The 15,852-nt window shown below is 48.8% G+C and overlaps 1 protein-coding gene across 4 annotated transcripts; it reads right to left on the reverse strand.

The window, feature by feature from the left end:
* Positions 1-1,432: 1,432 nt before the first annotated feature.
* RNF222 (ring finger protein 222) lies at positions 1,433-8,558 on the reverse strand. 4 transcript variants are annotated; one of them, NM_001146684.3, is made up of 3 exons: positions 8,426-8,558; positions 4,909-5,060; positions 1,433-4,217 (listed from the first exon to the last, which is right to left on the reverse strand). In NM_001146684.3, the coding sequence occupies exon 3, from the start codon at positions 4,190-4,192 to the stop codon at positions 3,530-3,532; it is 663 nt and encodes a 220-aa protein (NP_001140156.1). In that variant the 5' UTR covers positions 4,193-4,217; positions 4,909-5,060; positions 8,426-8,558; the 3' UTR covers positions 1,433-3,529. The 4 variants fall into 4 exon arrangements, with proteins under 4 accessions (NP_001140156.1, XP_011522280.1, XP_011522282.1 ...); XM_011523978.4 differs by having other exon boundaries at positions 4,845-4,952; positions 8,414-8,558; XM_011523980.4 differs by lacking the exon at positions 4,909-5,060 and having other exon boundaries at positions 8,414-8,558.
* Between the last annotated feature and the right edge of the window lie 7,294 nt (positions 8,559-15,852).

Raw genomic sequence — 15,852 nt, forward strand, 5'->3', positions numbered from 1 at the left:
GAGATAGGGTCTCACTATGTTGCCCAGGCTGGTCTTGAACTCCTGGCCTCAAGTGATCCTCCCACCTTGGCCTCCCAAAGTGCTGGGCATGAACCACCGTGCCCTGCATTCCCACTTTTTTGATGCATAAGTAAGCAAATAGGAATGTAAATTCTTATTCCCCCCCCTTTCTTTCTTTTTCTTTTTTTTTGAGACAGAGTCTTGCTCTGTCGCCCAGGCTGGAGTGCAACGGTGCGATCTCAGCTCACTGCAACTTCCGCCTCCTGGGTTCAAGCAATTCTCCTGCCTCAGCCTCCCTATTAGCTGGGATTACGGGCACGTACCACCAAGCCCGACTAATTTTTGTATTTTTAGTAGAGACAGGGTTTCACCATGTTGGCCAGGCTGGTCTTGAACTCCTGACCTCAGGTGATCCGCCCGCCTCGGCCTCCCAAAGTGCTGGGATTACAGGCGTGAGACATTGTGCCTGGCCTATTTCCTGCTCTTTCTATACAAATTGTAGTATCCAGTATCCGGTGTTCCACACCTTGCTTTTCCTCATTTTCCATTGTACCTTGGAGACATTCCATATAAGTTTATTGAGTCCTTTCTTGTTCTTTTTTTTTTTTTCTTTTACAGCTGCATGATATTCCCTGGACCTTAAGATAGATAACCAGTACCCTATTGATTAGCATTTAGGGTTTTTCCAATCCTTTATTTTTATAAACAATGCTGCAATTATATAGCATCACATGTATGCTGCTGCCCATACATGCAAGTATATCTGTAGGATGTTTCTAGAACAGGAATTGCTGGAGCAAAGCAGAAATTTTGGTAGATAATGTCACATTGCCCTTGATAGGGATTTTAATAATACACATTCCCACTAACCATTCCTCTGCCTCCCTCAGCTTCAGTAGCGGAGTGGGTTATGAGGCTTCCAGGTTTCGACAAGCTCATAGGTGAAAAATGGCATGCCAGCCAAATTTTAATTTTAATTTCTTTTGCAACTGTGGTTGAATAGATGTGTAAGAGCCATTTCTGTTTGCATTTCAAACTTTTTCTTTTCCTTTCTTTCTTTTCTTTCTTTCTTTTTTTTTTGAGACAGAGTCTCGCTGTGTCACCCAGCTGGAGTGCAGTGGCATGATCTCGGCTCACTGCAACATCCACCTCCCAGGTTCAAGCGATTCTCCTGCCTCAGCCTCCCGAGTAGCTGGGATTACAGGCGTGCGCCACCATGCCCGGCTAATTTTTTGTATTTTTAGTAGAGATGGGGTTTCACCATACTGGCCAGGCTGGTCTCGAACTCCTGACCTCGTGATCCACCTGCCTCGGCCTCCCAAAGTGCTGGGATTACAGGAGTGAGACACCGCATCAAACTTTTTCACCTAAAGTGAATTGTCCTTCAAGTCCAGGCTCGGAGCTTCCCACATAAATTGCAGAGTCTCTGGAATCTTTGAGAAAATATATACCTTTATTTTAAAAATAGCTTTTGGCATTCTCTGACAATAAAAGGAGTTGCAGCTACAGGTCACCATTGAACATACAAAAACACTGAGAGTATGTTGAAAGAAACTTTTGGCAAATACGACAGAATCTGAAAAGACTAGAACCAGGTTCCCAGAAATTCATGACACTGTTTAAAACAGCCTGGCTGAGGTTAAAAGAGACTCATTGGAGTCTTTGCAAATTTAACATTATTTTTATTCCTATAATAAATATTTTCCCCATGGAATCCATCTGTATCCCTCCCCTCCAATAGCACCTGTGCTCTTCTGTAATTTTTTTTTTTTTTTAGACAGAGTCTCGCTCTGTCACCCAGGCTGGAGTGCAGTGGCGCGATCTCGGCTCACTGCAACCTCCGCCTCCCGGGTTCAAGCGAATCTTCTGTCTCTCCCAGGTAGCTGGGATTACAGGCACGTGCCACCACTCCTGGCTAATTTTTGTATTTTTAGTAGAGACGCGGTTTCACCATATTGGCCAGGCTGGTCTCGAACTCCTGACCTTGTGATCCACCCACCTCGGCCTCCCAAAGTGCTGGGATTACAGACATGAGCCACCGTGCCTGGCCACTTCTGTAATCTTGAAATGAGCACAGAGAAGCCCACAAGTGCTTTTAAAGCAGCCCTCTCTATGTCCCAAATATCCCCTGTAGTGGGGCCCAATTCCCCAGCGGTCCCCAAATGACCAGCACTGCAGGCATTTAGGAACTAGATAAAACGTAGACTGCTATTTCTTCCCTCCCCACCAAGACAGCAAATTGCCCAGAGGGGTATAGGTTGAGGGAGGTTGGGGGCTCAGCTGTGGGCACAGCTGGGTGCAGACCACCACTTAGTTGAGATAATTGCTGGAGGTTTTTGTTGTTTTCCATTGAAAGGTGTTGGTTGACTTACGGACCTCAATAAACAGCCAATAGCTATCCCCGAATGACTCAGGCTAGACCCAACCTGAGGCTCTTCACAGTCCAACGTGGGGGCCCCAGGCAAAGAGACCTTGAGGAGCAGCTGAGGGCACCTGGGCCTCAGCATTTCTCGGTTGAGATGGCGGCGTCCCTGACAAGCACAGCTGTTTTCCTCCCCACCCTTCCTCACCCAGCCCAGCCTGGCAATCCACCTAGGAAACTGGCCCAGCTGGTGTGGCCTCTAAATGAGTGGCTGGGTCATGAGGAGGAGGACTAGCTGGGAGGGAGGCGGGAGCCCCCAGGGGTTCGTTTGCCCACATAGTTCTCAGCTGACTCAAGGCTCGCCTGTCAGGCTTCCCCTCCACTCCCTGCCACCCTTGAGAACCCCAGGACTCAAAGTTTGGATCCCTCCTTTGGCCTGGAGGGCTCAGGGAGACCTCTGGCTCCGTTCGTGGGGCACTCTGCTGGGGTGGCCTCTATCAACCAACCCCTGTCTCTGGATCTGGCCTCAGCTCTGCAGGAAGAACAGTTTCTGTTCATTCTCCCAGAAATTCTGGGGCAGCCTCTGAGATCAGCTTCTCCTTCAGGGAAGCCCTTCTAAGCTGGCAGGTTGGGGACAGGGAGGGTTAGGGGATGGGGTGCTGTGGTGGAGGTCGGGGGTGAGTGCTGAGATTCTGGGCGCCCCTTCTGTCTGTTCCCGAGGGCAAGCCGCAAATCCTGGGTGGGAATTCTGGCCTGGAGGATCCTGCCATCGGCCAGCCCAGCAGGACGTCTGCCTGCAGGACTTTCTTGTCCCTGGAGGGGCCCACCTGGCTTTGGGCAGGTCACCTGGCAGGTAAGGTCTGCCGCTCAGGGCTGGTGAGCCTGCAGGAGGGCAGTGACCACCCATCTTCCCAGCCTAGAGGAAGGGGAACGCATCTGCTGAGGATTCACGTGGGGAACACGCGCCGCGCGCATGGAGTCAGCTCCAGCCTCTCTGTCGAGCGGAAGCCCCTGCGGGGGTCGGGGAAGCCCAAGGCCCTCTCTGTGCCCAGGTCCTCCCCTCTGCCTGCCCGCGTGCCCCTCGGAGCTTGGTGGCACCAGGGCTGCCGTGGGCCTCCTGTCCCACCCCAGGCCACGGCTAGCCCGGCGGCCTCCCTGAGGTGCGGCTCACGCCTGCTTCCTCACCAGCAGCACCCAGGGCAGGATGGCGGCCACCACGGCCACCACAGCGATGAGCGTGATGAGCAGCAGGGCCCGCGATCGGCAGCAGAAGGCGCGGGCGGAGCGGGGCGCCAGGGAGGCCTCCGAGAGCTCTGCCAGGCTGCGGCGGGGCAGCACGCTGTCCTGCTCCCCCAGGGGCATCCCGTGGCGGCTGATGACAAAGATCTGTGACTCCCGGGGCAGGCTGGGCAGCAGGTCCAGGGGGAGCTGGGCGCTCTGGCCCGGGCTGCCTGGCGGCCTGGCCTGGCCTGGAGGTGGCCTCCAGGCAGGGGAGGAGGCGGCCAGGGGGTTTGTGTGGCCCAGGCTGTCCAGTGGGGGCACGGAGGGCAGGCCCACGGGCACAGCCAGCGTCTGGGAGCTCTTGTCCAGCATGGAGGGCCAGCGGGAGCTCTTCTTGCTGAGGAATGTGACGTAGCGGCAGATGGGGCAGACCAGGGTCCTCTGGACCTGCCCATCCACGCGGGTGGACAGCAGGTACTTGACCAGGCAGTCATGGCAGAACACATGGCCACAGCTCAGCGTCCGGCTGGCGCCCTCCAGGTCCCGGAACTTCTCATAGCACACGGGGCACTCACTGCCCGAGCTGTCCTTGCTCTCCCCTTCTGACATGGCCACTGGGAGATGGCACGCTCAGCTGTGGACGGGAAGGGTTGTGAATATTGGGGCATTTCCTCTTTCCCTCCCCCGTCCTAACTCCCACCTACACCTCTGCCTCCACTGCCCCTTATCCCCTCTCCCTGTCTTCTGCCTCCTCTCTCTTCCTCCTACTCTTGGCTCTTCTGCTGCTCCTCCTCTATGGCCCACCTGACTCAAACCTAGAACCCAGACCCTTAGGAGGAGAGGAGCAGATGCTTCTGGAAGGGAGAATCGGGAGACAGAGAACCAGAGAACCCAGTCACACTGGACCCCAGGAGGAGGTGTGTGGAGTTCCTGATGTCTCACCTCAATCATCATGTACACACATGGTGAGGTCACTGCCTCACCTCTTCCTGCTTCAGTGACGGAAGTGAAGAAAGGAAGTCCCTGTTACCAGGGGAAGCAGGTGGCTAAGAAGATGCATGCACAGCCCCAGTCCAGTCTCCAATTTGGACCTGCACCCAGAGTGGCCATTTTCCAGAAAAGCCCGTGCTAGTCTCAACCTCTGCCCTCACCTGGGGTTGGCGGGTCCATTGGATTTCCTCCAGCCATTGGATTGCATTCCTCTGTGCTAAGTGTGGCTATAAAGCAATGACTGTTTAAAAAAACAAAGCTTAGAACTTACACATTCAAATGCCTGCTGGCCCTCCACATAGTCACGTCAGGGAGCTTTAGGTTCATTCCCTCACCTGCCACAGCTCAGTCATTCTCCAAATTCTTCTTATGGGGCTGCCTGAGGCAGTGAGAGAAGCATCTGATTAACCGTGATGGAGACAGAATTTCATCCTTTGAGAATATGTCTGATACTTTGGAAATGCCCAGAAGTCACTGGTAGCCAAGTCTGATAGGAAAGTAAATGAGTGATCAAGTGGCATGATATTGTTTGAAATCAAAGCTATGGAGTAGCAAGATATAAAGTAACAAGATATATAAAGTAACAAGATGGTTTGTTTTTTTTTTTTTTTTTGAGAGGGAGTTTTGCTCTGTCGCCCAGTCAGGAGTGCAGTGGCGCAACCTCAGCTCACTGCAACTTCCACCTCCTGGGTTCAAGAGATTCTCCTGTCTCAGCCTCCCAAATAGCTGGCATTACAGGTGCATGCCACCACCCATGGCTAATTTTTGTAATTTTAGTAGAGACAGAGTTTCACCATGTTGGCCAGGCTGGTCTTGAACTCCTGACCTCCGGTGATCCGCCCGCCTCGGCTGGCCTCCCAAAGTGCTGGGATTACAGACGCAAGCCAAGGCGCTGGCCACAAGATGGGTTTTAAACAGAATCTGAGAGCAGATTTGTTTGATTAACTACATGGCTTCCCAAGTCGATGGCTTTGAAGGGAAACATCCACTGGGGTGTGTGGTGAGGTCCAAGTGTCCGCACTGAAAAGTTCCCAGTGTCACAACTGTGTAGCCTAAACTTATCTGGAACAGCTTCTTTAAAAAGAACCATGATTCCTTGTTATTGCTGCTTTCTTCCATCCATGACAGAGACAAAAGACCCCTGGACACACTGATAAAATAGAGTTGCATGGCAGCCCCCAGACCTGAGAGATGACATAGTGGGAACAAAATCAATGTGTAGGAAGGACAACTGTTAAGATCACAAATCTTTCAGAATCCCTCCCTCTCTTGGCTTGGCTCCAAATCTATTTTGCCGAGTTGAAAATGTCCCATAGTCAAAGAGCAAAAATATTTGGAGGTGGGATAAGGAATCTGGGATCCTGGAGGAGGCCCCCAAACCTCTTTGGGAGTTTCTAGCTTTGGTCTTTGAGATGGTCAATGTGGCCCCCAGGATGGGGGATGGGGGTTCAAATCTTTGATCTACCCATTACTGTCTGTATAAGCTTAGCCAAGTTGTTTAACCTCTCTGAGTCTCAGTTTCCTGTCCATAAGATGAAATTGATAATAATGGTATCATCTTCCTCGGAGAGTTGTTGGGGGAATTAAGTGAGCTAATGTGAGTGAAGAGTCTGGCTCAGAGTAAGTGCTCAGTAAATGGCAGTTGTCATTATTAAGACAGACCATGTCCTGTCCCCTCTTCTCCCAAAGGGGACTTGGAGACCCCTGTCACAGCTCTTGAGGCAGCCACAGCATTTGCCTTCCTTTCCTTCCCTCTCATCCCCAAATGTTCCTTAGTATGTGGATGATTAAAAAATCGCACCCACTTGACAGAGGGCAGCTCACCTCAAATTAGAATAACGGAACAAGATGACAATGGATAAGATAAGTGATGGGCAATGGATAATAATTTAAATGGTTATTCCAATCTTTCTTGGTAGTTATTTCATAACACATTTGCAAATGTTTATACCAAACAGCCATTATAATCAGGATGGGCATGATTTTCTTAAGCCAATCAACTATTAATATGTTTCCCTGCATTTCATAACTCCCCAGAGTGTATGATGGCAAGAGTTCCATCCTTCTATCCATCCATCCATCTGTCTAATTATTCGACACATATTTATTGAGCACCTGCTATGTGCTAGGTACTGACTTACATATTGGGGATAAGTAGTGGCCAAGGAAGTTCTTATAAAACTTTAGAGCCTAGTGGACATTTATAAGTTTTCTTGAAAAAGATATTTTTTTGAAAGGAGTATTGATGATCAATGGTTTAAGTTGTTTGGATAACTGAGAAGTAGAGACCAAGGCTGACAAGAAGAGCAAATAAGGAATACTAGAGGGAAAAAGGACTTTAGAGATCACTTAGTTGAAGCTCCTAGTTTCAGAGATGAGCAGATCCATGTCTAGAGAGAGGGAAGTGAGTCACCTGAGGTGACCGGTGAAGGTGACGGAGAGGGAGTTAACCGAGACAGAGAAGATTCCGTAGATGGTAGAACATTGTTAGAATCAGCTGATAGATTGGGTGAGTAGGTATTAGCCAAGTTAGAAAGCACCGTCCTCCTTGAGACGAGCAGGGAAGGAGAAGGAGAGCCTCTACTTTTCATCCGAGTTAGAGGAAAAGTAAAAAGGACCCAGGGAGTGCAGAAGACATCCGAGGCCCCAATGATGGCCTCTCTGGGCAATCCTTCTCCCTTCCAACAATGGCCTCTCTGGGCAATCCTTCCCTCTTACAACGATGGCCTCTCCGGACAATCCTTCCCCCTTCCAATGATGGCCTCTCTGGACAGTCCTTCCCGCTTCCAACGATGGCCTCTCTGGGCAATCCTTCCCCCGTCCCGTGCTTCCGGAGAGCCACGCCGTCAACACCTGGACGATGCTACCTCCTTCCCCACCTTCTTGCCTCCCTTTCTCAGTCTTTCCCTGACCCCTCCCTCTGCCTCTCTCGCTTTCTGAATCCCATTCCATTCCCCATCCTTGAGTTCCTCTTATGGTATGATTCTGTTTGGATGCTGGGGTGAGGGAGAGGGCAACAGAAGAAATGCAAGGAACATACTCTAGTTTGAGCACAAACGAGTTGAAGAAGAATGCAGTAAGTGCCAAAGCATCCCTGTTGGTGCCTTAGGAAACTGAGGGGAGAGGAGGGCTGGAAAGTATTCCTAGGTGAAGTGGGACCAGTATTGAGCTAATAATAAATAATTATTATTATTTACAACAGCGACCATTTATTGAATCCTAATTATATGCTTGGCATTTTGCATCCCTTCCTCTTCTGATCCTGACAACAAGGCTGGGGCGTAGGGATTATCTTCATTTTACAGATAAGGGACCTGAGGCTCAGAGCTTAAGACTTTGTCTTCAGACTTTGGTCAAAGGAATAGAAGAAATAGCACTGTTAGAAAAGTGACTACCCAAAGTTCCTTCCTCTTTAGGTTTAGAGTGACCCTAAACAAGGATGCCCCTCTGGCCACCTGGGAGGCAGGGGGAAGGCAATGGCTGGCCCAAGGGAGCTGACCTTGGGAAGCCCCAGTACTGAGCCTCCCCCACAGCAGTAGCCCATCTCCGGAACAGAGTGTGGGGGCAGGTGTCCCCACCCCAGAGAAAACACCCCCCATCCCCACCTCAGCACAGGAGCCAGTGGGACAGAATGATACTTCCAGGCACCTGGGATTCCCTCCTGGAGCCCCAGTGCAAGGTCCTATAGCTTTAGCTGTGACTAGTTGCTCACCCACAGGTATCTCTTTCTCTCTCTCTCTCAATTTCTCTCTCTCTCATTCTCCTGCATCCTTCCAATGTTGGCAACCTTCCAACATTGCCAAGCTCCTTCCCCACGCCCATCCAGGCCCCTAGACTCACTTTAGCTGGGACCGGAGAGAGCAGCATCCACCTTCCCTCCTGGGGCCTCCAGCAGATCTGAGCCACCCCGAGGTGCTGAGCAGCAGCACGATCTCCTCCTGTTGCTGTTAGTGTGACCGCCACCGCCGAGGCAATTCCTAATGACAGAGCAGGTCGGGAGGACAGCGCGAGGAAGTGAATGTCGCCCAACCCGTTTGAGGCCAGGAGGCTTTGGCGTTGCCCAGGGGGTTGGCAGCTGCTGGAGTCAGGTGATCTTGCTGAGGATGCCAGGAGAGGAACCCCCAGCTTGAGGAGGAGCCCAGGGGTGGGTGCTCAGGAGAGTCAGAGGGTCTCACAGTGGAGGCAGTGACCCAGGACCCCTTTGACTGAGGCTCCCCAGGCATGGGTCTCCCTATCAATAGGAAAGTCACCCACACTGTCCTTCCCACCCTCCTGGACCCATTTCTGTGATCCCCATCTTCCCCCCACACCCCTATCCTCACACCATGCACAGGGTGAAGGGGTCAGTAGTAGATCAGCCTCGGGAAGTCTATGACACTCAGAGTCATATATTTGTGGGATCTGCCTGTGTGCATTTGTCATTCATGGAACACCCAAAGGCGCTTAGAACTCCAAAGACCCAGCACCACTGGCATAAAGAACGAGGCGAGTAAGACCAGTGAAGCAGGAATGCACACAGATATGGAAAGAAGTCCCCGGCATCATGATAAATGGAAGCAACTTTCAGAACAGCCTGTGTAATACAATTCTATTTATGAAGATAATAATACATGATCATATTCATAGAGGAAAAGCTGGAAGAAAACACATCAGACTGTTAATAGCAGTTATCTCTGGAGAGACTTTCTAAGTTTTATATTTCTGTGATGTTTGCATTTTCACCCTGAATGTATGTTTCTTTTGTGATTAGAGAAAAAGTCATCCACTGGGTATGGTGGCTCATGCCTGTAATCTCAGCACTTTGGGAGGTTGAGGCGGGCAGACTGCTTGAGGCCAGGAGTTCGAGACCAGCCTTGCCAACATGGTGAAACCCTGTTGCTACTAAAAATACAAAAATTAGCTGGGCAAGGTGGTGCAAGCCTGTAGTCTCAGCTACTCGGGAGGCTGAGGCACAAGAATTGCTTGAATCCAGAAGGTGGAGGTTGCAGTGAGTGAGCCAAGATTGCACCACTGCACTCCAGCCTGGATGACAGAGTGAGACTGTCTCAAAGAAAAAGAAAAAGTCATCAAGAATAATGGAGGAATGAAGTTCGGGGAACTGGAAATCATTTTGGAGGATTCCCTCCCAGTCCTCTCAGGAGGTCCCCAAGAAACCAGTTTTCTTCTGAAAAAGTAAGTTACTGGGTCCAAGGCACAGCCCAGCATGTGTGTGACCCCATAGGATGACACAGGATGACCCCTCTTCTGTCCGATCAGTCATGGCCCTGGCTTAATGGACACCTTGAAGCTGGTGGGGAGGACAGTCAGGCCAGTGCACTCGGCCACTTCACCATGGACAGAGATCCGTGAGTGCAAGCCGTCGTCACAGTCTCTCTTGTTCTTTCCCTGGGAGTTCCAGGTGGTCCTAGATTAGCAAATGAAAATGCAGTATGCCCAGGTAAATTAGAATTTCAGACAAACAACGAATGCTTTTTGGTATAAATATGTCCAGTACAATACAGTACAATATCTGGGATTTTTTTTTTTCTGAGACAGAGTCTCGATCTGTCACCCAGGCTGGAGTGCAGTGGCCACAAGCTCGGCTCACTGCAACCTCCACTTCCTGGGTTCAAGCGATTCTCCTGCCTCAGCCTCTCAAGTAGCTGGGGTTATAGGTGTGCACCACCACACCCCAGTAATTTTTTTGTATTTTTAGTAGAGATGGGGTTTCGCCATGTTGGCAAGGCTGGTTTTGAACTCCTGACTTTAGGTGATCTGCCCACCTTGGCCTCCCAAAGTGCTGGGATTACAGGCGTGAGCCACTGTGGCGGCCCTCTGGGACATATTTATACTAAAGAGTATTCCTTTTCTATCTGAGACTCAAATTTAAGTGGGCATTCTGTATTTTCATCCAGCAAGTCTAATCCCAGAGGGCTCTCCAAATTTCTCTCCTTCCACTGGCATCTCCAAGGGGCGCATTGCAAAGTTCTAAGCCCCTTCAACAATGTGGCTCATGACTCTGCCTAGGGCTTTCTGGGGATTCCTGAAAAGGTGCCCCAAATACCTCAGTATCAAGCCCTTGTGTGTCCCCCAGAGAGGAGACGGAGCCAGGCCCGGCCATCCTTAGACTTTTGTGATGTGATTTATGGGGTGATATAAAGTTCCTAAGGCACCAATATCTTTTCCACTGGCCCTGTCATGAAGCTTGACTATGAAAATTACCTTTAATATGTAAATATTTATTATCATTGTCTGTCTTGGTTTGTGTTCTAAAAAAAGAATTCTGGCCTGGCACAGTGGCTCAAGCCTGTAATCCCAGCACTTTGGGAGGCTGAGGCAGGTGGATAATGAAGTCAGGAGATCAAGACCATCCTGGCTAACACGGTGAAACCCCATCTCTACTAAAAATAGAAAAAATTAGCCGAGCACGGTGGCATGTGCCTGTAGTCCCAGCTACTCGGGAGACTGAGGCAGGAGAATCGCTTGAACTCGGGAGGTGGAGGTTGCAGTGAGCTGAGATGGCGCCACTGCACTCCAGCCTCGGCGACAGAGTAAAACTCTGTCTCAAAAAAAAAAAAAAAAAAAAAAAAAAGAAAAGAAAAAGAAAAAGAATTCCACTTAAAAAATTGTGTATACTTATATATGTTGGCACGGACACACACATTTACCTGAGGAGGTAAATGCATCAGCCAGAGACACTTTAACTTGAATTTATTTTTCAGGTCAGCTCTAGCCATCTAGCAAGTTTCTGGGAAAGTGGACTGTTGGATTTTGGCAGGAAGAAGGAATTAGTTATCAGCAAAGGTTGAGAGCACAAGTATACTAGCCAGGAGGAACTACACTATAGGACTTGATGGTAGGGAGCTCTGGGAAATTAGACCAGTGCATGAGCATTCACGAGTGCTCTATGTGTGTTTATGTGTGTTGGTGACTAAAGAGAAAATGCCATGTGCCTTTGGGTAGGTTACTTAATCCTTCCGTGCCTCAGTTGCTTCATCTGTAGAAACTGCGCCTCAGTTGCTTCATCTGTAGAAAATGGGGATAATAGTACCTACTCTATAGGGTTGTTGTGACAATAAAATGAATGAATGCAAGTAATGTGCCTGGAACAACACCTGCTACACAGGAGGGGCTCTGTCAGTGTTTTCTATCTATATGTCTGTCTATCTGTCTATCAGTCAATCAATTCATCTGTCTATCTGGTTTCTCCATTGATCCACCTATCTCAATTGATCTATGTATCTATTGATCTATCTAATCTCTCTCTCTCTATCCTCTCCATCTATCCATCAATCAACCTATCCATTGATCCATCCGTCCATCTGTCCATCTATCCATCTCTCTATCTAATCTCTATCTCTCCATTGATCCATCCATGTAATCTCTCCATCAATCAATCATCTATCTTTCAATCAATCTATCTCTCCATTGATCTATCTACCTAATCTCTCCACTGATCCATCTCTGTGTATCTATGTATCTACCTATCTATCTCTCCATTAGTCTATCAATTAATCCATCCATCCATCCATCCATCCATCCATCCATCCATCCATCTATCCATCTAATCTCTCTCTCCAATCTCTCCATAGATCTATCTATCTATCTATCTATCTATCTATCTATCTATCTATCTATCATCTATCCAATCTCTTCGTCTATCTAATATATATATAAATATATTTCTTCATTTATCTCTCTGTATCGATTATCATCGAAATCATCCTTATTATTATTATGGCAAGAAGAGAAGGCTAAAGGTGGGTAAGGAGATGCAAACACTTTCTGACTCAAGGGTCCTGGGCAATCTTGTCCTGATTTAGTGAATAAGGTGTCTGTTGCAAATACTGCCATGTCATTTTGGAGTGTTCTCCCCTTCTCAGCAGAAAGGACAAATGCACGCTGAACCATGGAAGAATGGTTCCAGCTCAGGGACGGACGAGACCAGGGGTCCCTTCCCTGGGCAGGTCATGCTGTAGAGTTTTGTCTAGTTCTGGGGCCACATTGGAAGTGGTGTTGATGAGGCACCAAAGCGTGTCCTGGGGAAGAGCTTGGCCAGGATGGAGAAGAGTCTGGAGACCATTTTGGCCCAGTGACATAAGATCTTCCTTAGAGAGACATTTTTGTGAGGCTAAGGGGCTTTTAGACAAGGGAAGAATCCCACCCCCGCTGACCACTGACTAACTGCAGGTGTGGTTTCTGCAAGGGGTGAGTAGCTGGACCAGGACAGAAGTTCCTAATGCCAGAATCACCTGGAGAACAGATTACAGAAACTGATTTCCAGGCCCCACTCATGACTTGCCGGTCTTGGGAGAGGCCCAAGAAAGTACACTGTACTTATTTTTAATAATTGGATAGATGGATGGATAGATATATGATAATGTAAGAATAGTGCATGCTAATGGTGGAATCTAGGTGGTGGATGTATGGATTCTTGTAAAATTCTTTCATCTTTGCTCTATGTTTGGAAATTTTCATAACACATGTTGGAAAAACAAAGTGCCTTCTTGAATAAGTAATATATTCAGATGATTCAAAAGTTAGAAAGTGGCCAGGTGCGGTGGCTGATGCCTGTAATCCCAGCACTTTGGGAGGCCGAGGTGGGTGGATCACCTGAGGTCAGGAGTTCGAGACCACCCTGGCCAAAATGGTGAAACCCCGTCTCTACTAAAAATTCAAAAAATTAGCTAGGTGCCTGTAATCCCGGCTACTTGGGAGGCTGAGGCAGGAGAATTGCATGAACCCGGGAGGCAGAGGTTGCAGTGAGCCCAGATGACACCACTGCACTCCAGCCTGGGCAACGGAGCAAGATTTGTCTCAAAAAAAAAAAAAAAAGTGAGAAAGTGTTAAATGACCTGCAGTGAATATTAATCTCCCTCCCTGTCCCTCATCTGCCCATTTCCTGTGCATCCCTTCAGAAGGTAACGATCCCTTCAAAAGGATAAACAAAAACAAGACCAAAACAAAAACAAAAACAAAAAACAAAAAACAAAACAAAACAAGAAAACCACACCAGAAAATAACAGGAGTTGGTGAGGATATGAAGAAATGGGAACCCTTCTACCCTGCTGGTGGGAATGTAAAATACTGTACCTTCTTTGGAAAACAGTACGGTGGTTCAAAAACTTAAATATAGAATTACTGTATGATCCATCAATTCCGCTTCTGGATATATACCCCAAATAATTTAAGCACGGACTCAAGTAGATCTTTGTATACCCATGTTCATAGCAGTGTTAGTCACAATAGCTAAAAGGTGGAATCAACCCAAATGTCCATCAACACATAAGTGGATAAACACAATGTGATCCATCCACACAACGGAATATTTATTCAGCCTTAAAAGGAAGGAAATTTTACCACCTGCTACAACATGGATGAACCTTGAGGACGTTAAGTGAAATAAGCCAGATACAAAAGGACAAATACTGTATGATTGATTTCACTTATATGAGGTTCCTAGAGCAGTCAAAATCGTAGAGACAGAATGTGGAATGGTGGTTTCCAGGGGCCGGTTGGGGGATGAGGGGACAATGGGGAGTGAGTGTTTAACAGGGACAGAGTTTCCGTTTGGGAAGATGAGCGCTCTGGATGGATGGTGGTGATGGTTGCTCACAATATGAGCGTACTTAATACTGTGGAACTGTACACTTAAAATGGTTAAGATGGGCCAGGTGTGGTGACTCACGCCTGTAATCCCAGCACTTTGGGAGGCCAAGGTGGGTGGATCATTTGAGGTCAGGAGTTCAAGACCAGTCTGGCCAACATGGTGAAACCCGATGTCTACTAAAAATACAAAAATTAGCCGGGTATGGCAGTGCGCATCTGTAATCCTAGCTACCTGGGGGGCTGAGGCGGGAGAATTGCTTGAACCTGGGAGGCAGAGGTTGCAGTGAGCTGAGATCACACCTCTGCACTCCAGTCTGGGCGACAGAGCAAGATTCGTCTCAAAAAAAAAAAAAAAAAAAAGGTTAAGATGGTAAATTTTGTTATATGTATTTTACCACAATAAAAAAGGTAACTGCTGTTATTAGCAGTTAGTTTTGTGCATATTATTTATATTTATATGTACACAAACAAATACAAATAGGGATTTGTATTCCCTGTTTTTTTTTTTCCTTTGAGAGATAGGGTCTCACTCTGTCGCCCAGGCTGGAGTGCAGTGTTACAATCGCAGCTCACTGCAATCTCGACTTTCCATGCTCAAGTGATCCTCCCACCTCAGCCTCCTGAGTAGCTGGGACCACAGGCACGCCACCACACCTGGATAATTTTTTAATTTTCTGTAGATACAAGGTGTCGTTGTGTTGCCCAGGCTGGTCTTGACCTCCTGGGCTCAAGAAATCCTCCCGCCTCAGCCTCCCAAAATACTATGATTATAGACATGAGTCAATATGCCCCTCCTTCCCCCCGTGTTTTTTTTTTTTTTTTGTTGTTGTTGTTTTGTTTTTGAGATGAAGTCTCATTCTGTTGCCCAGGCTGGAGTGCAGTGGCGTGGTCCCAGCTCACCGCAACCTCTGCCTCCCGGGTTCAAGCAATTCTCCTGCCTCAGCTTCCCAAGTAGCTGGGATTACAGGTGCCCGCCATCACGCCTGGCTCATTTTTGTAGTTTTAGTAGAGACAGGGTTTCACCAGGTTGGTCAGGCTGGTCTCGAACTCCTGACCTTAAGTGACCCACCTGCCTTGGCCTCCCAAAGTGCTGGGATTACAGGATTACAGGTGGCTGTTAGCCACCGTACCCAGCCCTTCCCCGTTTTTAATCTAAAGGTGTGCACCACACGCATGCTGGTGCATCTTGCTTGTTTTACTGGACAGCACAGCTTGGAGCTTTCTCCCTTAGGTGCATATACAGTTGTTGAATCTGAGTTTTCAGTAGCTTCCCCAGGTGATGTTAAGGAGCAGCCTGTGTGGGAACCTCTGCCCCCAGAGATCACTGGGGTCCTGGGTAGCTTGGAGAGGTATTCCTTCCTCCAGGCTAGGGGAGGAGGACTGGAAGTTGAGGTGGCTCAGCTCAGATGGAGGCCCAAAGGGCCCCCAGGAGCCTCTAGAGTAACCTGCTCTCTGTCCCCACCATCTTCACTGTCCCCAGCTTTCCCTGCACAGCATCTCCAGGGAAGTGGGATCCATGAAGCTCCTGACTTTCCTGCTCCCCCGGAGGGACACTGGGTGTCCAGGCGCAGGGGCATTCCGCAGCTCTCTGCACTACCTTCCTGCCACTCCCTGTGGGGACAGAGTGGATACAGCAGGCAGGGGCAACCCTGATGGGATGGGGTCACTCATGCCATTTGGAACCTTATGCC

Source organism: Homo sapiens, chromosome 17 (assembly GCF_000001405.40).
Source record: "Homo sapiens chromosome 17, GRCh38.p14 Primary Assembly".
NCBI classification, from domain to species: domain Eukaryota; kingdom Metazoa; phylum Chordata; class Mammalia; order Primates; family Hominidae; genus Homo; species Homo sapiens.